The following is a 22,113-nucleotide window of genomic DNA, read 5'->3' as shown; positions in this document are numbered from 1 at the left end:
TTAAATGGTGATGGATCTCTTTGGAAATAGGTGAACATTGTTTTTGTTTCAATATTCATTCAGCAACTTTTATAACACTTGCCATGTGCCGGGCACTATTTTAAGTACTTTGCAATATTTACATAATTAATTAACATTATAGCGCTACAAAATGAATACTGTCATTGTCCCCATTCTGCAAATGAAGAAATTGAGGGCTAAAGAGATTAAGTTGCCTAAGATCACACAATAGATAAGAACAATATATTACATGCCAACATGTATTTAGCAACAAAGGCCAACAATAAGTATTTTCTGAGAGCATATAGGCAGCAATGACAGTAATGTGGTCACAGCAGAATAAAAAATCGCCCTCTCACTGGTTTTTTCTACAAAATCTCCTATCACTTGATAGATTACATGAGGAGGTGGGACTGTAAAGGTGGGTAAAAAGTTGATAAATATTAACATTCTAAGTCTGTGTCAAGAACAATTTAGACAGAATAATAAAAAAGCATCAATTCCCTTTGCTTGTAGCCTAAATAATTGTGCCACTCACTCCAAATTTTCCCCTCAGAAAAGGATACAAGTAAGATTAATCTCAGCAGGCCTCTGGTAAACCGATTTGCATTGGGCCCCGCTCTGGATTCTGATTACATTTTGCCCTACTGTTGTGTGACACCTAGCATCCTTGGAATCTTTTTATGACTCTGAGTGCATGTTCCACATGTAATTTACCATAGCATTAAAGAAGTTCAACATCTAATTAATTCACCAATCAACTGTCAGAGCCTGTGATCTTTTCCTAGTTCACTGTTGAGTTCCCTGTGGGAGAATCAGTATTCTGAAAGTGCCATTTCCATTATGCTGTGTGTGGCGTTTGAGCAAAGTACTAAGTTATGCTGCTTGTTCATGGAAAATATGCCATCCTCATGAGTACCTTGATGACTTTGTTAAAAATACCTCCTGCCACCCCTGTTCTCTTGTTCTCATGAATACTGTGGGTCCATAGTACAAGGTTTTCACAGCACCACAAATTGAAAGAAGGAAAATCAGCTCATCTGTTTCCTAACCTGTGCGTGTCTCTTGAGTTTTTCTGTTTTATCCTTAAGAAACTCTATCCCATTGGCTTTTTAAAAATGTAACTTTAAATCTATCATTTTTGAAGATTTCCATGTCTCAAATTTTTCAAAATGGGGACATTTTAAATGCAATAGAAATATTCATGGCCACTTCATGTTTCAATATGTTTACAGAATTATATCCAGGTTAACATTTCTGAGTACTTTCACAACAAAAGAGCAACAGGAAGGAAATAGTGCTTATAAAGTTGTAGAATCCATTTATTTCTGATTAATATCTGCTTTGATTAACCCCCAAACTTACATGCTTAATACAACAATCATTTATTGTCAATGGGCCGGTCAATGGGCAGGCAGTTTTGATGATCCTAGATTCAGTATTGTACCTGAGCTCACTTACTCACATGAAGTCAACTGTAGGGCAGGCCAAGGCTGGCTACTCCAGGATGGCCTCATTCACCTATTTTCAACTTTCTGACAGATACAACAGGAGTGACTGGGTCACATATCTCTCATCATACAATGGGGTAGCTTAGACAAATTCACAGAATGGATAGCAGGATTTCAAGACAAAGAATAGTATTTACAATTTCTTGAGACCAGTGCTCAGAACTGACCCAGCATATATATATATATATTTTTCTGCATCTTATTGGTCAAAGCAGGTTACAAGCCCATCCCAGAAACAAGACATAGACAAATAGACTCCACCTCTGGATAGAGGTAGTTGCAAGGTCACACTATAAAGGCAGTGGTGAGAAATTGGGACATTTTTGCAGTCTACAACATTTAACTACCTGGCAGAGGTTAATGGTCATCTAGATTTGCCCCAGGTTTAGTTTTTGCAGTGCTGTATTCATTCAGTCTGGTTCATCAATCAAAGACAGCTCTCCTTCTCAAGATGACAGAAAAGGTAGCATCAGACCAGAGATACAATACATTCTATATTCATCTAAAATCTTTTATTTTTGATGCTACCTCTTTTTTATTGGTTTTATTGACTATGGAGGGAAACAAACATTTTAAAATATATGATGGGTAGGTGAAAGTATACAATGCATAACCATTATGCCTAGAATCTAGTGTAAGGAAAAAAAATTAACATATCCTGAATTAGCAAGTATGTTCTTCCTTAATCCAATCCCTTTCTCTGACTTCTCAGAGATAACTTTTCTTTTGAATTTTATTATCATTATTTTGCTTTTTATTATGATTTTAGGCTACATTTTTACCAGTATATGTTTACTGTGAGATATATAAATTATAAATTTTTGAAATGTACATTAATGGAACCATACTGCTTCTCTGCCACTCAGCCACAGCTTTGAATTTTGTATTTTAGCTGAGGTAATTAGTCTATTTACATTTATTACAAATGCTACCATATTTTTATTATGTCTTCACTGTTATTTTTGTTTTTTATTTATCTAATCCCTTTTATCTTTGTGTATTTCTTAGATATTTTGAATTAATTATTCTCATTCATGTTTCTGTTATTAATAACCATGTTTTATTAATATGGTAAAATTAATAACCATATTTTAATTTCTAATATAAACACTAGAACAGTTATGATGCATAAACTCATCAAAGTGTCAGTTTTAATCTTTATTCACTTTCACAATAATATAGGTGCTCAAAATAACTTAACTACAATTATTTTACATGCAATTTTTATATATTTTTGTTCCATTACAGTTTTTAATCCCGATGACAACTTCATTTTTGTTTAATATACATGAATAAGCATATTGGTCACTGACGTTGCTCATTATTCCTTTTTCTATCTGACATTTTTCTTCCAGGATTATTTACTTCCTCCTGCAGAACATTTAAGATGTCCCTTTGTAATTATCTGTTGGTAGCAAAAGCTCAATTTTTGTTTGTCTATGAAGGTCTTTATTTTATTCTCCTCATTGAAAGCCATTTTTTTAAGTATATGATTGTAAGTTACCAGTTATTTTATTTTGTTACATTCAACCTATTACGACACTGGACTCTGGTCATCATCTTTGCAATTCAGAAGTCAGCCATTGGCCAAGCATGGTGGCTCATGCCTGTAATCCCAGCAGTTTGGCAGGCTGAGGCAGGTGGATTGCTTGAGCCCAGGAGTTTAAGATCAGCCTGGGCAACATGGCAAAACCTTGTATCTACAAAAAATACAAAAAAATTGCTGGCTGTGGTTGCATGCACCTATAGTCCCAGTTACTCGACAGGCTGAGTTGGGAAGATGACTTGATCCCAGGAGTTCAAGGCTGCATTTAGCTATGATTGTGTCATTGCACTCCAGCCTGAGTGAGATTTTGTCTCAAAGAAAAAAAAAAAGATAAAAAAGGAAAAAAAAGTATATAAGTCAGCTGTCAAGCTATTGCTGTCTTTGAAGAAGGTAATCTTTCCTCCTGCAATATTTAATATTTTTTCATTGGCTTTAGTGTCATGCATTTGTACTATACGTCCAGGCATTAATTTCCTTTAATTTAAATTTTTTGAATTTTAGGTTACTTAATCTTCATATTAATATCTTTCCTCAATTCTGTAAAATATTCAGTGAGTGTCTATCTGTATATTACCTCTATTCATTTTTCAGTCTTCTTTTCTTCTGGAAACCCAGAGAAGCTAAAAGTTAGTGTCAGTGCTATATTTCCACTGTGGATTCTAATATGTCCTTAATTTGTAGTCTCCAAATTAAGTTTTATTTAATCTTTAAAATTGTAGCATAATTTTAGACCTAAAGCAAAGTTGCAATAATAGTAACAAAGAATTTAATTTACTTTCACCCTCTTTTGCCAGCAGTTAACATTTTACCACATTGCATTGTCATCTTGCTGTCTTTATGAAACATTTAGGGAAAATTTGAGGCATTATATCTCTTAACCCTGAAGATACATTCATATGATTTCCCTTAAACTAATAATGTGTTTTTCATAACCATAGTATAATTATAAAAATCAGGAAATTAACATTGATATGATACTGTTAACTAATCTACAGGTATTGTGTTAGTTTTCTATTGCTGTGATTACTCCAAAATACAGTGGTTCAAAACAAAACAAAACAAACACTTGTGGACAACCTCCTCCCCATCAAAAGACATATATTAGTGGATTGTATTAAAAAATAAAATCCAACTATATGCTTTCTGTAAGAGACACACTTTAGTTCTAAGGACATGCATAGATTGAAAATGAAAGCTATTCCATGCATATAGTAGTTGAAATAGAACAAACATGGCTATATTAATATCAGACAAAATATATTTTAAGTAAAAAATTGTTAAAGGTTAAAAGAAGGACATTATATAGTGATAAAAGAGTCAGATCACCAAGAAGATGTAATAATTATAAAGATATATGCAGCAAACATCAGAGCTACTAAACAGTTGAAGCAAACACTGACAGAATTAAAAAGAGAAATAGAAAGCTCCACAATAATAGTAGGAGACTTGAATTTTCCACTTTCAATAATGGATAGAACAGCCAGCCAGATCAGAGAAACACAGGACTTGAACAACTGTATACACCAATGTGACTTAACAGTCATATATAGAACACTGCCCAACAATAGGAGAATACACATTTTTCTCAAGTGCATATGGAATTTTCTCTAGGATAGACCATATATTAGGTAATAAGCAAAACTTAATAAATTTAGAATGATTAAAATCATACAAATTATATTTTCTGATCACAATGAATTGAAGGTAGAAATCAATGGCAAAAAGAAAACAGGAAATCACAAAAATATGTGTAAATTAAACAATACACTCAAACCACCAATGGGAAAAAGAAGGAGTCACAGAGGAAATTGGAAAAAATATCTCAAGAGTAATGAAGATAAAAATGCATTAGATAACAACTTGTGGGAGGCAGTAAAAGCAGTGTTAAAGGGAAGTTTGTAGCTATAAATATTTATAAGAAGGAAGAAATATCTCAAATCAACCATCTAAATTTACATCTCAAGGAACTAGAAAAAGAAGAACAAACAAAACCCAAATCTAGAAGTAAGAAAATAATAAATATTACAACAGAAATAAACAAAATAGATAGTAGAAAAACAATAGAGAAATTCAACAAAACCAATAACTGGTTCTTTGAAAAGAGCAAGAATGTTGACAACCGTTAGCTAAACAAACTAAGGGAAGAAAAGAAGATTCAAATAACTAAAATTAGAAATAAAAGAGGGAATATTACTACTTATTTTACATCAATGAAAAGGATTATAAGAAAGTACTACCAGCAATTGTATGCCAACAAATTGGATAATCTTAATGAAATGGACAAATTTGTAGAAACATGCAATCTACTAAGAATAAGTCATGAAGAAATAGAAAATCTGAATAAACCTGTAATTAGTAAAGATATTAAATGTGTAATCAAAACCTTCTCAAGGAAAAAAATAAAAAAGCCCGGAGTAGATGACTGCACTGGTAAATTTTATGAATCATTTGATGTAAAATTAACAGTAATACTTTTCAAATTAAAAAGAAAAGAGTTCTTTTGATGGGTGGTGGTGATGGCAGTAAAAAAATATCAGGGTACTAGATGCCAATTAAATTATACACTTAAAAATGGCTAAAATGGTGAATTTTGTTATATATATATTACCAAAATTAAAGAAATAAAAAACAACTCGAACAAAACAAAACACTTATCTCACATTTTTTTTGGTGGGTCAAGAATCTGGAGTGATTTAGTTGAATGGTTTTGGATCAAGTCTTTATGTATGGTTATCTTCAAACAGTTGTCACATAAAGGCTTGCCTGGGCTTATGATTCATTTGCAGAATGGCTCACTCATGTAGCTGCTGTTTGGAGAACTCAGTTCCTCACTATGTTGATCTATCCGCAGAGTTATTTGTTGTCTGTCTTCCTCAGTGTGCACGATCTAGGAGAGAGAGCAAGGGTGAAGCTATTTAATTATCTAGTCTGGGAAGTGACATCTCTATTTCTACCACTATCTATTAGTTAGAAGTGAGTCACAAAGTACAAATCACACTAATGGATAGGGGAATTAGGCTTATCTTCTGAAGGGAGAAGCATCAAATATTCTTGTATGTATTTTAAAACTGCGTAGACATTTTTTCAAATTTTCCTCCTTGTCCCTATAACATTTATTATAGTAAATAGAAAGCATAGGATCACATGTCTCTTTAATGTCCTTTAATCTCAATCTCTCTTTATCATGCAAGATAATGACATTTTTGAAGAGTGCAAGCCAGTTATTCTGTAAATTACATCTCAGTTTGGATGTGTCTGATGTTTCCTTATGATTAGATTCAGTTATGCGTTTTGGTATAAATATTTCAAAAGTCATATTCTCCTTGCATCATACAAGAAGGCTCATGATGTCTACTTTTCTTATTACTAGGGCGATTAATTTTAATCATTTGGTTAAGTTGATTACTACTGATTTTTCTATTGTATACTTATTATCTTTTTCTTTGTAATTAATATGATGCCTTTAAAATCCTGTATTTTTCCTTTTTTATAGGATAACGCACTTTGAGACTATGTAAATATGCTATTTTTTTTTAACTTTAACCCACTTGCTTTAGAACAAATACTTTAAAATTTCTTGCTAGATCATTAATGTATTTAGGAAACATGTTTCATTTTTTGTTTTAGTATTTTATCTAATATCTTAGGTTGTCTTCAGCATGAAGGTCAGCCAGGATATCTCATCCACCAACTGTTAGAAACCAATGCAGTGTTGCCTAATTTGACACCTATATTTACAGCCAATGTTAAATAATTCACCTGCTTCTCATAGCTTTGGCTACTGTCACTTGGCATTGTGGTTACTATTTTCTTGTTAAACCTGTGATGTACAGCCCCCTAATTATTGATACATTTTGGCTCACTGTATTAGTCTGTTCTCACGTTGCTAATAAAGACATACCTGGGACTGAGTAATTTACAAAGGAAAGAAGTTTAATTGATTCACAGTTCAGCATGTCTGGGGAGGCCTCAGGAAACTTACAATCATGGAGGAAGAGAAGACCAACACATCCTTCTTCACATGGCAGCAGGGAGAAGAAGAATGTTTGCCCAGTGAAGGGGGGAGCCCCTTATAAAACAATCAGATCTCATGAGAACTAACTCACTATCACGAGAACAGGATGGAGGAAACTGCCCCCATGATGCAATTATCTCCACTTGGTCCCTCTCATAACATGCGGGGATTATGGGAAGTACAATTCAAGATGAGATTTGGGTGAGGATACAAAATCTAACCATATTATTCTATCCCTGGCCCCTCCCAAATCTCAGGTCCTCACATTTTAAAACACAATCATGTTCTTCCAACAGTACCCCCAAATCCTAACTTATTCCAGTGCTAACTCAAAAGTCCAACTCGAAAGTCTTATCTGAGACAAGGCAAGTCCCTTCTGCTTATGAGCCGGTAAATTCAAAAGCAAGTTAGTTACTTCCTAGATACAATGGGGGTGCAGGCATTGGGTAAAGACACCTATTCCAAATGGGAGAAACTGGCCTAAACTAAGGGGCTACAGGTGCCATGCCAGGGAAACTTACAACCATGGAGGAAGGGGAAGCAAATACATCCTTCTTCACATGGCAGCAGGAAGAAGAATGAGTTCCCAGTGAAGAAGGAAGTCCCTTATAAAACGATCAACTCTTCTGAAAACTCACTCACTATCAGGATAATAGCATGGGGGAAATCACCTTCAGGATGAGATTTGGGTAGGGACACAGCCAAACAATATCACTCACCAAGTTATCTTAAGCACCATATGGAAAAAGTTTAATAGCCTATTTCAAATGTTTTATGAATAGTAGCTCAGTAAATTCCATCACCATTAGGATACCAGCATTTTCACACAGCAAAAAACAAACAAACAAAAAGTGCCTAACGATATCATGACTCATGATAATTGAGTGCTTGCTACATTATAATATTCTAGATGCATTTGCAAGTGTGAACTAATTTAATCTGCTGAATATTTTATGAATTGGATGCTGTTATTATCTCAGTTTTACTGACTAGACGACTGACAGTGGTAAAGCTGTGAGTCAAATCTAGACAGTCTATCTCTAGTGATTTTACTTGTAACTATTTTGCATTGCTGCCGTGAAGAGGATTGCCTCTTCAAAAGCTATGAGGCAACCATAAACCTCTATGGTAGTGTAAAATCTCTAAGACATGGGAGACTGGAGTTGGAAGAAAACTTAAAAATCATTTACTTTCTTCACAAGATGAATAAACTGAAACTTAAAGAAATTCGGCTTATTTACAATTTAGGAATAAAGTTGAGGTAAAATTGAGGTCTCCTGATACTCAATCAATCCAATTCATGTTCTATCATATACTATAAATATCTGGTAAAATGAAAATAAATACCCTAAACTTATTTTTTCCCACCAGGGACAAAAATATAACTCTTCAATGTCAGATTTAAAGTGTGATTTCTGAAATGAATATGCTAGATATGCTATACATTAATTAAACATGAATTGCTTTTGCTTGCTTTCTTAGTACATAAAAGGGCTTTAGGGGAATGATTTGGATGACCCATGCATTTTTGCATAGATAATTTGTTAGTTCAAAGCTTTTCTCTTGTCCTAAGCAAATATGTTAGACATAATTTATCTGCTTATTTGTTTAAAACTAATCCTTGAAGATGCAATTTGTGAACATAATTTGGAAAGTTTCTTTTCTGCTTATCAAGTAAATAAGATAGGCAACTAAGAAGACAAGTCATTATATACATAGTCATTTAGCAAAACACTCATGTTATTTATACTATTTAGCATTGACATGTAAAATAGATAAACGTAAAAAATATACTTAGCAATAAAAGCATACATTAACACACCCTTTTATTATAGCTATAATGTTGTTTTATAATACATAGATTGTTTTAAAATACTACTCCAGGCATCTCCATATTTTATGGATTCCTGTAATCTTTAACAAAGAGTGATGTTCAAAATCTTTAACAAATGGGTGTGTCATGTGCCCTGATGAATGAAAAGAGAGAACCAACCAATCAGAATAAAGATCAGCAAAAAACAATCCCGTACAGTGTATATTGGATGAATTTCAGCTCTAATGTTCATTGTGAAGGTATGGAGATAAAGATGCTCTGGTATTTGACTCTTATTTATATTGTGTTGGTTTCCTTGCATCAATTCTTCTCATTATCACATTTCTTTCTAACAATAAAGCCATATCTGAGAGGGAAATAAGTCATGAAAACACTGAGTATAGAACCAGGATGGTACTGGTTGATTAAATTTTTGTATCCTGTGATGGAGATGTGTATTGTCCTCATTTATTTAATTTTCCTATCCCTCTAGGGACACTGGTGGAATATACTTCATCCCCTTATTGTTGGGTTGGGCTATGGCCTATTATAATTAGTGAGATCTGAGCAGAAGTGGCTGAGTGAGTCATACCCAAGTCTAAGCATTTAATTGCAAGATTCTCTAGCATTGTCTTTTTTTGCCAAGGTGACTGAAGAGGCCCCTAGCTCCAGGTGGTACAGTCACAAAATTATGGGGCTTTCATCTGCCTAGAAATCCTAGTTATATGTGAAGCGGTCTCACTTGAGGTGTCCACATGGGCAATACAGCATTTGTGAGAAATCAACTTCTGTTTTATTAAGGCACTGAGATTTGGGATTTGTTTGTATACAGTAAGCCTGACTAATGCATATTCCACAGGGTGCTTAATAAATATTTTTGAATTAAAGTATTAAACATTTTCTTAAAGATATCTAAGTAATTTTGAGGTTAATTATAAACTATAGATAATATATTAATCCTTGTAAGTTTTATCTGGAGTTTCAGCTATATCCTTACTATCAATTTAACTAACGCACTTTCTCCTAAATTCAATATATATCCCAACCCTGATGGGCCAGGCTTCAAATCTGGTGTCTCACTATGAGGCTTTTGACCTTAATACTAATATACTATGGTTGTTTAATAAGGATTTTATAACTAAATTAAAAATGAATCAACCATTTTCTTCCTGTCTTTCTTCTTTCCTTCCTCCACCATACATGGATGCCTTTAATCTACCTGAGGCACTACTTTTTTTCCTTTTTTTTTCTGGGATTTCAGCAACATGTCTTACTAGATAAGAAGGAAACACCAAACTCACTGCCTAAAACAACCAGACATAATGTGTATTCTGTATGCTTATTAGTTTCTTAAGAAGCAACAAGGTATGGTTTTGTAAGAATTCTCCCTTCATCATTTGGGAACAATAATCCTTTGTCAAGTACATAGCATGAACCTGTATGTATTGGAAACTCAGGGATCTGCTTCTATCTCTGTAGTGGTGCATTCCTTTATGAGTTTCAGGAGGACCAAAAGCCTTAAGTTGGAGTTGTTGAAACTGTCACCAAAAATAAACAAAGAACTTAAAGTGGGATTAAGCAGTATCAAGCTTCTTTTTGGTAAGATTTTTAAACTTTTGGAAAGTGCCAACTTAGTAGTTGGTATCTTATAAATGAAGAAAAAATCACAATTAATAGTCTATGAAAAGACATTGACTTAACATAATTCAGTATACTATTTTTAAACCCTATGTCTTAAATAAATTAGCCTATTGTTAAACACGATGTCTTAAATAAATTAGGGAGGGAGAAGTGAGAAAAGGGTAATATACAAAGATGAAACATGTCCTTGTGCTTATAGAATAGAAAAAAGGCATATGCAGAAATTATTATCATGCAAGAGAAGATATGATAGTTTAGAAACAAAGTTCTGTGATAATAAAGGACAAAGGTAATTAAAATTTAAAAAATCAAATTGAGGGCTACGTACTTGTGTGTGTTTGTGAATTAGGTAGCCTTCGAATATTGGATTTTAATACAAGTAAATAAAGTTAAAGAATACATTGTGCACAAAGGTAATAAACCAGTAAAAGAACTGGATATGCTAAGGGGGTGATGAATTGTCGGAGGTTGGAGAGGCAGAAGAATTAAATGGATGTTTCTGTAGTAATGGATAACTTCATAAATATAGATTGGAAGCTCATCAGAGGCATGTGAGACATGAATTTGCTTTAGAGACAATGGCAGAGGGGCCCATTACAAATGTTAGAATAGAAAAATGATGCTAAAGGCTGTTGTTTTTTTTTAAATAACAAGTTTTACTAAAACATAGTACATTAATACGATTATGGAAATTTTCACCTGCCTCAACTATGTATGCCAAATAGAGACCTCCCCAGGGACTGTGGGGTGAAACCTGATGAGTTAGATCAAGCCCTTAGAGAGCTCTGATGGACATGGTGGCTGGCTTCCACAGGACACATTTACTGGTTTCTGTTCTTGCATTGGGGAGCAGTGTAGAATGAGAGGTTCTCAGAGCTATCTCACTGGGACTCAGAGGGAGACAACCCGATGGCTAGTCTTGTCCTACTGTTTATTAATCATGTGACTCTGGCCAAATTAATTTCTAAGCCTATTAAACTCTGCCTTCCCCTGCTCAAAAAGTGCTATAACAGTATATTCTGTGTGAATAAGTTGTGTCCACAGGTGACTCATCAGGACACTGTGGTCAAGCTGTTAAGAACATGTCAGAGTAGGTCCTCTTCTGTACTAACCCATAATTTTCTTTTTTTTTTTTTGAGACTGAGTCTTGCTCTGTCGCCCAGGCTGGAGTACAGTGTCACAGTCTCTGCTCACTGCAAGCTCTGCCTCCGGGTTCATGCCATTCTCAGCCTCCCGAGAAGCTGGGATTACAGGTGCCCACCACCATGCCCGGCTAATTTTTTTGTATTTTTAATGGAGACAGGGTTTCATCGTGTTAGCCAGGATGGTCTCGATCTCCTGACCTGATGATCCGCCCACCTCAGCCTCCCAAAGTGCTGGGATTACAGGCGTAAGCCATCGCATCCAGCCATAATTTTCAAATATATCACATATTAGTAATACCTTTAAAATTGGCTGGTAAGCCAAACAAAGGGCTATTACTTGCTTTCCCCAAATGATTAGTGTTCAGAGAATACAGTGACAGTGATCACTATGGATAATGAAAATATAAGTCCTATTTATAAAACATATATATGCACTAGTTTGTTTGTTTGTTGAGAATGTAGAGAAGGGGCTCGTTTATTAGACATAAGTAGAAAGAAGAAAACAGCCAGGGAAGAGGAAATGTCAATGAAATAGAAATGTCAGCAGGAAACAGGACGTCAGAGAGGTCAGAAGCACAAAGAATTTGCAAATTTCTTGGTGAAGGCATTGATCTTCCCACAGGACTTTGGCTAGGGAAGTGAGGACTTTATTTGAATCTCAAAGGAAAAGGCGACCTCATCTGATGTGGGGATTTCATTTAGCTTTGGGGACCATCCATAAGCACCATCCATAAGCACTGGAGGATGAAAAGAGAGCATAGTTAAATCCTGGTGCCATAGAACCAGCACTACATTTGCGAATTTGGAGATTTGGGCACTAATCTGCAAATACTGTGGCTGAGCTCTCTGAATGATAGGTTCACAAGCAACTCAATCTGCTTTCTTAGGTTAGGAAAGAGAAAAGAGCCCACGTGCTAGAGTCTTTGAGGAAACTCCAGGCATGTCAATTTGGAACAATTTTTGTTTTGTTTTGAGAGTTGTAACACTAGTATTCCAGTGCAACTCTGAGGGTGTCCAATTTTCTTTTTTTTCATTTCTTAATATAGTAATATTCCTTTTATTTGCCTGTTCAGTGAGTCACTTCATCAGACCTTTAGTACAGCTACCTCTCTAGTGTTTGTTGTTGTTTTTTTTTTTCCCCTGCCAGTAAATTCATTTCAACCTTCAGCCACTCTACGATGGCTCTTCCACTGGGTAAGGCTCATCCTAGGAATGTTCTTTAGTTTTTCATACTGACCAAACTCTGTAGAATAACACAAAACTGGTCTCTGCCTTCTGAGGGTTGAATCAGGGGCTGTTCAGCCTTTCTGCACTCTCTCTTTGGTTTTTCCTTTAGATTACCTTTTTCTGTTTGTTTCACATTCTGCAGTACAACCCCTTCTTGTATTTTTATTTTTTTAATTTTTCACATCCTCAGTTTTCTCCTCCCCCCATTCCCAACCCAGTGATTAGTTTACAGCTTTTACAATTTTTTTCCCACAACATCCGTCCAGTGTTTCCAAGCTTTTACAATTTCTTAACTACTTTCTATTCTCCAGGAATTGAGGCAGAATGGAAGAAAATTAAAAGGTAACTTAAAATTTTTTTAACTGATTTAAGTTGTAGCATATAATTTAGGTTGGTTGGACCTATGTATGTATGTATGTATTTATTTATTGTTAGGAGGCAGCATAATGGTTAGGGCAGGGCAATCTAAGTTTCAGGTTCTGCCACATGCTGGATGAGCTATTTATAACAATTTAGCTAACTTCTATTAACCTCAGTTTTTCCCTCTATAAATTAGTATCTATATTTTAGAACTGTTATGAGGATTTAATCAGATAATAGTTTGAGTGGGAGCAACATTGTTGAGACATGCTTGTCATTATGTACTATGGTTACTACTTCTACTACTACTATTGCTATTAGAATGTTTGGAAGCTATGTTACTGCTTCTTTTTAAAGGTTTCCCATTTTCTGGGAGTATGCTTTTTACTATAACAATTCCATTTTCTGGTCTTTAAATTTGCTGCAAAGTGTATGTGTGGTTTGCTTTGACTGAAAACATAGGCATTCAAGTGGAAAAAGGTGAGCGCCATAAATTTTACTATGTTCGATATAGGTTTCTGAGTTGCTGTGCTGTTGAAATAGGACACACTTATGCCAAGATGTAAACTACTTCAACTCTCAGAGTATCTGGGGAGAGCTTACCATAGCTTCAGCCCCAAACCTGGTTATCTCTGATCATAAGCAGCCTTGTCTCTTTACCGCCCCCTACCATTTCTATATATGCCAAGACATGGAAGTTGGGAGGCACTGAATCAATGAAACTGCCAACAGAAGGTACATTCTGGTAGATCCTTTGCCTGTAACTACTGTGTAGAAACATAGAAACACACATACATGTATTTGCTTTAAGAATACCTTTTATTTATTTATTTTTTTCAAGTGAGGAATGATGTAAGAAGTAGATAGCATTAGACTAAGAGTACTAAGACTTGTGAAGTCAAATCTTTCTACTCCACTGTGAGAAAGAGGACAATTGTTTTTGCTTTTCTTTAATTTGTTCAAACATGATTGGATATGAAAATTAAACAGCATAATATTTTAGAGAATAATTGTAGACTACCTGTCAGAGGAATCTAATTTCTGAGTCTATGAGATAGTTAAGTGATTATTAGACTTAATGTGTTAATAATAGCATGTTTCAGATTTTCATTAGGTTCACTGGATTCACTGGACTATATTAAGTGCTTAATAAATGCTCCTTAAAAGAATGTCTACCTTGTGAAGATGCATTGACCGATCCTTAGAGAAATGAGATGAGTAGGCAATGTATAGGGTATGGATTTAAGTTTTGTTAATATAAATTTAATGTCAAAATAATTATTCTGGGATAGTCTATGCTCTCTCGTAAAATGTCTGTAGCAACTAGAGAAGCATAATTCTGAGTTGAATGGATTACATATTATATTTTTTTGCAAAGCATCACCTGAACTAAATTTATGTAAAGTTTATTTGCCATCTCATAGAAACCAGTCTATCTTTATGTTTGAGAATTACAAGTTACTGTCATTCTACAGTGGAATTTTGCAGGGATCATTATGTGCTTTATGAATAATCCAGGATACTTTTCATTCTGTCTTGTCTTGTGCTTAAGCATCTCACGTCTGCATTTCCACTATTGTGCAGCCCTCTGTTTACGGTACATGTGTCTACATCTTGGTCTCCTTTTATTTAAATACTTTGCTAGGGTTGATTAACCACAAGCTATGTAAGGAGTAAAAAAAAAAAAAAAAAAGAAAGAAAGAAAAAGAAATATCATCATACAGAATTATTGTCAATAATGGCTGACACAGGTTGAATAATAAAAGTTAAATAGAGAATATATCAAGTTAATGTATGGTATAATCCCAAACTCTTTGGAAGGTTCAGTTTATTGTGAAGTTAGGAGAAGCAAGCATAGATTTCAAAGGCTAGTTATTTTTGAATCCCTGAAGGGCAAGATAACCTTTACATAAATGCAACCTACTGAGAGACTAAGGTGAAATTTTAGTACATCTGTGTAATTTTCTTTATAATGCTGGTATAACATTCCACATTCTTTTTAATAAGTATATAAAAGTATAGATCCAGGAAAAAATATGTCATTTTCTGCTATTGGGAGGTAGTAGGAAATAAAGTACATTATAAAGTATTATTTATAAAACCATGTCTAGAGACAGAAAACATTCTAAATCACTAACACTGATTATGTGTCACTCACAAAAGCTCACCGAATATTAGAACTGGCAGCAAACCTGTTAAAGTTCTAAAGAAGTAGTTAGAAGGAAATAAAAGGATATATTATTTTACTCAGTGGAGAATAAACATAAAGAAACAATTAACTTATACATTTAAGTAGTCATAATAAGTTATTATGGGAAGTAAGAGGTGCTTGGGACCTATACCTTAATATTTTGAGTTTGATCAATTTCAGGGCAACCAAGCGTTCCCATATCTCTACGTATCATTTTTGAGAGGTATTAAAAGACTGAATTGAATGGGATTTGCATATTCTCCAGGTATCAATCATGGCAGTAGCAGTAGAGGCAGCAGTGGCAAAGGCTGTTTCAAAGGGACAGTGAGAAAGGGATACCTGTGGTGTCTTTGCTCAGTTTGGAAGATGCTAAAGATAATCTAGGCACAGCCTTTCTCAGTTGAGTCACCACATTCTGGAATTATGTCTCTTAACTTTCCAGAAACTGACCTATGTTCTCAATGCATTCGGTGATTAGCTCATACTCATTAAGCTCAGACTGGTATATAAACCAGAAACACTAAAGTATCAATTAGAATTCTTTCTAATGATTAGAATTATTATATGCAGTCAAGAACAAACTATATTATCCTGCTACCAAGCTATGTACCAAACTACATTGTTCATGAGGAAGCTACTTTGATGTTATAATAATTGTGGAATAATAAAGGTGACATTTCATAAGAAATTATTGCTTAATCACAATGGAGACCTGGAGACATCAGCCTCTCCAAATCCTATATCTTCTCCCTTCAACAGTGTTGGATGCTTGAAAAAAGAGTGTTTCCCCAGATCATATGGATCAATCTTTCTATTTTGTCTGATCCTTTTTGTTGGTTCATATCATGTTAGTATCAAAATTAGTTGGAGACTGTTCTTACCAGACTACAACTTAATGGTTTCTTTCACTTTCTCAATTAGTTTAGCCCGTTAAGTTCTTAAAGGTGTTAATTGTTCAAATCTCAGCTAGCATGTTATTTGAGGTTCCAGACTCACTGACCGTGCTTGCTCCTATGAAAGGAGCTTTAGCCGTGATGTGTGTGTGCCTTAGAATGACTATCCCAGCATGTTAGCTCTATTTCTCTAGCTTCAAATGAGATTCCAGCCAATGGATAACAGAGATATAGAGTTCTGGATGATGTAGGTGGAGAGGAGGACTTTTCCATGGACTTCTTACTTACTTATTTTCTTACATGGAAAATAACTAAGCATGTGATGCTAGAGCACTTCCCCGAGATTTCATGAAGATTTTCCTGACAAAAAGTAAAAACACTAATAACTAAGAATTATGAAATACCCACTTTGAGTCAGTTGCCATTACTTGGTAGTTGGCCTACAGTTTCTAATTTGATCATGAAAACAATTAAATGTGATAAATATTATTAAAATCATTTTGAATTTAAAAAATTGAAGCTCAGAGAAACTTAGGTAAATAGTTAAAATTACTAAACTCAGTAAGTAAGAGACCTGGTATTCAACTCATGTCTGTTTAGCTCTAAAGCACGGTACTCTAATCAATCTGCGCACTGCCTTCAAGACAGTTGCCTAATAAGGCACTTCTGAAGCCAGCTGAAGGCTGCCTTGTTTTGTCTGCTCCATGCCACACTCTTTACCTGATAACTTGATTATAGTCTGATATTAGATATCATTTTCAGTAGATAGGGCTACCAAGGTCTTATTAAAAATAAAAATGGAAACCTCAACAGCACTTAGTATGTCTTCTAACACATCAATTACTTGTCTTATTTTTTTCTAGTCACCAGTCCCCTCAAATGATCTATCTGGAGAGTTGCTGTCTAATGAGGTTTTTGGTCTCTGAGCATATTCTCATTGATTTTGAACTATTAGACAACAATGATTTCAGTCACAATAAAAAGCTCTTGGCCCGTTGCCTTTTATCAAATTGCTACTATCAGTAGATTCAGATATTAGTGTACTTACAGAAACAGTTCCGCAGGTGGACTTTGTTTTGTTTTAAAGCTTGATTTCTATTTTAAATACCATGGGATTGACTACAGGATAAAGGCACTTCATAACATTTTCTTTATTCTAAATTAAATGATGACTTATGTTTATGTGAATGACCTATCACAGTCCATGAAGGTTGACAGCTGTGGGCTCTGCATATATGACACACAGTGGGTTATGTCCAGTTCTTACTGCTGTGACTATAACTGAATCCCCTTTTTTTCCAATTAATTAACTCACCATAACTAATTCAGTAGGAAAACACCGAATTAAGGTATAGTATATAAACCTAGAAGCTGGATTTTAGAACCATCGGATAAGAGAATATAGCTGTGGTATTTTGTTGGCAATATTAGTACTGAGGGTTTTTATCAAACTAACAGATACTCTCTAAATTTATCACATGATATAAATGCATATCATCTTCAAATTGGCCTGTCCTTGTAATCATCTGGGATTTTTAAATTGTCCCTTCTTTTATATCATATAGCAATGACTCTACTTTTTAAAGGATCAGGAAGCCTTTAAAATGTAGGATGCTTCTGCTTAAAAACAGTGATCTTTAATTTTTTTAAAAAAATTTGATTTATGTGAGTACATAGATACATAGTAGATATATATATTTATGGAGTGCAGGAGATGTTTTGATACAGGCATGCAATGCATAGTAATGACATCATGGAAAATGGGGCTTCTGTTCCATCAAGGATTTATCCTTTGCTTTACAAACAGTCCAATTATACCCTTTTACTTATTTAAAAAGAACAATTAAACTATTATTGCCTATAGTCACCTGTTGCACTATCAAATACTGGGTCTTATTAATTCTTTCTTTTTTTTTTTTCTGTTTGCACCCATTAACCATTCCCACCTCCTCACTACCCTCCCCCTACTACCCTTCCCTGCCTCTAGTAACCATCCTCCCACTCTATATGTATATGAGTTCAATTGTTTTGGTTTTTAAATTTCACAAATAAGTGAACATATCGAGTGTTTGTCTTTTTGGGCCTAGCTTATGTCACTTAGCCAGGAACCTTCTTGCAAACGACAGGATCTCATTCTTTTTTATGGCTGAATAGTACTCCACTCTGTATATGTTCTATATTTTCTTTATCCACTCATCCATTGATGGACATAGGGTGCTTCCAAATCTTTGCTATTGTGAACAGCTGCAACAAACATGAGAGTGCAGCTATCTCTTCGATATACTGATTTCCTTTTTTTTTCTTTTGGTTATATATCCAGTAGTGGAATTGCTGTATCATATGGTTTTAGTTTTTAGATTTTTTGGTTTTTTGAGGAATGTCCAAACTATCCATAGTGATTGTGCTAATTTACACTCCTACCAACAGTGCACAAGGGTTCTCTTTTCTCCACATCCTCATCAGCATTTGTTATTGCCTATCTTTTGGATATAAGCCACTTTAACTGGGTTGAGATGCTATCTTATCGGAGTTTTGGCTTGCATTTCTCTGATGATCAATGTCGAACACCATTTCGTATGCCTATTTGCCATTTATATGTCTTCTTTTGAGAAATGTCTATTCAGATCTTTTGTTCATTTTTAAAGTGGATTTTTATGTTTTTTTCTATAGAGTTGTTTGACCTCCTTATATATTTCTGGTTATTGTTTCCTTGTCAGATGGGTAGTTCGCATGTTTCTTCTCCCATTCTGTGGGTTGTCTCTTTACTGCATTGATTGTTTCTTTTGCTATGCAGAAGCTTTTTAACTTAATGTGATCCCATTTGTCCAGTTATTTTCCTTACTTGTCTGTGCTTGTGAGTATTCCTGAAGAAATGTTTGCCCAGACCAATATCCTAGGTTTCCTCAATGTTTTCTTGTAATAGTTTCATGGTTTGAGGTCTAATATTTAAGTCTTTAATTCATTTTGACTTTATTTTTGCATGTGGTGAGAGATAATGTTCTACTTTTATTCTGCATATGTATGTCCAGTTTTTCTACCATCACTTGTTGAAGAGACTGTCTTTTCCCAAGTGTGTTCTTGGCATCTTTGTTAAAAATGAGTTCACTGTGAGCGTGTAAATTTGTTTCTGGGGTCTTCTATTCTGTTCCGTTGGTCTATGTGTCTGTTTTTATGCCAGTAGCATGCTTTTTTGGTTAAGTACAGCTCTGTAGAATAATTTGAAGTCAGGTCATGTGATTTTTCCTGTTTTATCCTTTTTGCTTAAAATAGCTGTGGCTCTTCTGGGTCTTTTGTGATTCCATATAAATTTCAGGATCATTTTTTTCTCTTTCTTTGAAGAAGGTTTTGATATTTTGATAGAAATTACATTAAATCTGTAGATTGCTTTGGGAAATATGGAGATTTTATCAATATTGATTCTTCTAACATATGAACATGAAATATCTTTCTATCGTTTGGTGTCCTCTTCAATTTCTTTCATCAGTGTTTTATAGTTTTCATTATTGAGCTATTTCACTTTTTTCAGTAATTCCTAGGTATTTAAGACCAGTGATCTTTTGTTAATTTATTCATCATATATATGTATATTAGTGGGTATGACCTTCAGTAATTTATGTTAGGGAAAACACGTCAAGAAACAAAATCTGCCTTGAATTTAACAATAATTTAAAATGGTTTTATATTCTAACGGTCACACCAGCTGTTTGTTCTGTAGTTGAAAGATAATAGGTCATATATGCCAGATTGATTTCTCTCTATACCCCTATAATAAGCAGAAGGAGTCATAAGCCACTTGTCATATCTTATGCCCCATGTGTGTCTTCTTTAATCATGTCTAAGTTTCCCATTCCACAATGCATTTTTGTGATAACAGAATTAAGGTAGTAGATTTTTCACTATTTTTTTAAGAAAGTAGAAATCACTTAAGACTAGTCACAATGTAAGCATACATTCAAAGTTGTCTGCTTTAATCATTATCTAAATAACTCTTGCCCCAAAAAACTTAAAAATAATTGTCATGCTTGTTTCAAAGTCAACTTTCTTTGTGTTTCTTGTTAAACTATGACAATATTGCTATTTTTGATCCTCGAAATGTATGAAATAAAATCCAGCAGGGTAGAATTAAGATGGTATTGATTATGGACAATGGTCACAAGGCCAATAGTTTGAATAAAACCTGACCAACACAATTCTAAAAATTAGTTATCTCACAGTTTAAAAGTTTTAGCAGAATATGTTTACTGAAATTTGGGGTTTTTTAAGGACACTTTTTTTTTCACTTTTTCAAAAGGGAAACTTTTTTTCTCAGTTTTCACAATGAACTTTACAGTATATTGAAGATATTTAATATGTGTTCACATATCTGAGTAAAAGTGTATGTTAATTTTTATAAAACATTTATATTTTTATATGCACACACATACACACACACACACACATATATAACATTTAAATGTAAGGAAATGCTTTAGCTAGCTAAAAAAAAAAACAGAGTATTATAAATACAGAGCATATGTGAGAATGAATTTCATGGGAACTTGTAAGGACTAAACCTTCCAGAATGGAGACAAGAAGAACATTCTGGAACTGAGAACAGTTCTTAAGATCTCCACAGCCCCTCCAGGACACATGGTTATTTAGTCTCATGCTTCACTATTAATGGAACGCTGGTAAAAATCACACTTGCTTTCCTTCTCTCCACTGCCAATGACTGACTCCTTATGCATAGTTTCCTTTTGCACATCACTGTGTCTTGCCCATAACCCTGATTTTGACTGTGTAAACTTTCTTGCCGCATCTTTATCTCTTGGTATATCTTATTTAAATTTCCGATAATAACTGAAAAATCTCCATGATATTGCTGACTGCAAATATGTGTGAAATCAGGTCAGATTAGATTTTCCTACAAAGTGAAAGTCCTTAGGCAAGAATCAAAAGTCAATTGCTCAATCTATGTTGGGTCTCCTCTAGTTAGAGGCCCTCCTCTTGTACATTCAGCTACAGCAATGGTATATTGGGCTATGTGAATGTTTCCTTTCACTAGTGACTTTCTTGGGGCCAGTTTTCTGTAGTAGGTGATGTGAGTGGTACAGGCTTTTAACAGCTTTAATTTAGTATTATTTCAGTGCATAAAAACTGTCGGAGGATACTTCTTTAAAACCTCTGAGGCCGGGCGCGGTGGCTCACGCCTGTAATCCTAGCACTTTGGGAGGCTGAGGCAAGCAGATCATGAGGTCAGGAGATCGAGACCATCCTGGCTAACATGGTGAAACCCTGTCTCTACTAAAAATACAAAACAAAATTAGCCGAGCGTGGTGGCAGGCGCCTGTAGTCCCAGCTACTCGGGAGACTGAGGCAGGAGAATGGCGTGAACCTGGGAGGTGGAGCTTGCAGTGAGCCGAGATTGCGCCACTGCACTCCAGCCTGGGCGACAGAGTGAGACTCCGTCTCAACAAAAATTTGGAAGGAAAACTAACCAACAGGAAGGACATCCACACCAAAACCCCATCTGTACGTCACCATCATCAAAGACCAAAGGTAGATAAAACCATGAAGATGGGGAAAAAACAGAGCAGAAAAACTGAAAATTCTAAAAATCAGCGTGCCTCTCCTCCTCTAAAGGAACGTAGCTCCTCACCAGCAACAGAACAAAGCTGGATGGAGAATGACTTTGACGAGTTGAGAGAAGAAGGCTTCAGATGATCAAACTACTCCAAGCTAAAGGAGGAAGTTCGAACCCATGGCAAAGAAGTTAAAAACCTTGAATAAAG

General features: G+C 34.8%; 1 protein-coding gene and 1 long non-coding RNA gene across 15 annotated transcripts in view; one reads left to right on the top strand and one right to left on the bottom strand.

Annotated features, from left to right (window-relative positions):
• Positions 1-22,113, top strand: part of LINGO2 (leucine rich repeat and Ig domain containing 2) — a 1,275,985-nt gene that overhangs the window by 550,757 nt on the left and 703,115 nt on the right. The gene's annotated exons all lie outside the window — the stretch shown is intronic.
• The window catches only part of LOC105376003 (uncharacterized), a 36,942-nt gene continuing 20,671 nt past the window's right edge, over positions 5,843-22,113 (bottom strand). Inside the window, exon 3 of the long non-coding RNA XR_929533.4 lies at positions 5,843-5,944. This is a non-coding gene — a long non-coding RNA (uncharacterized LOC105376003). The remainder of the gene's footprint in view (positions 5,945-22,113) is intronic.

Source organism: Homo sapiens, chromosome 9, assembly GCF_000001405.40.
Source record: "Homo sapiens chromosome 9, GRCh38.p14 Primary Assembly".
Lineage (NCBI taxonomy): Eukaryota > Metazoa > Chordata > Mammalia > Primates > Hominidae > Homo > Homo sapiens.
This window is presented reverse-complemented; position numbering and strand designations above follow the sequence as displayed.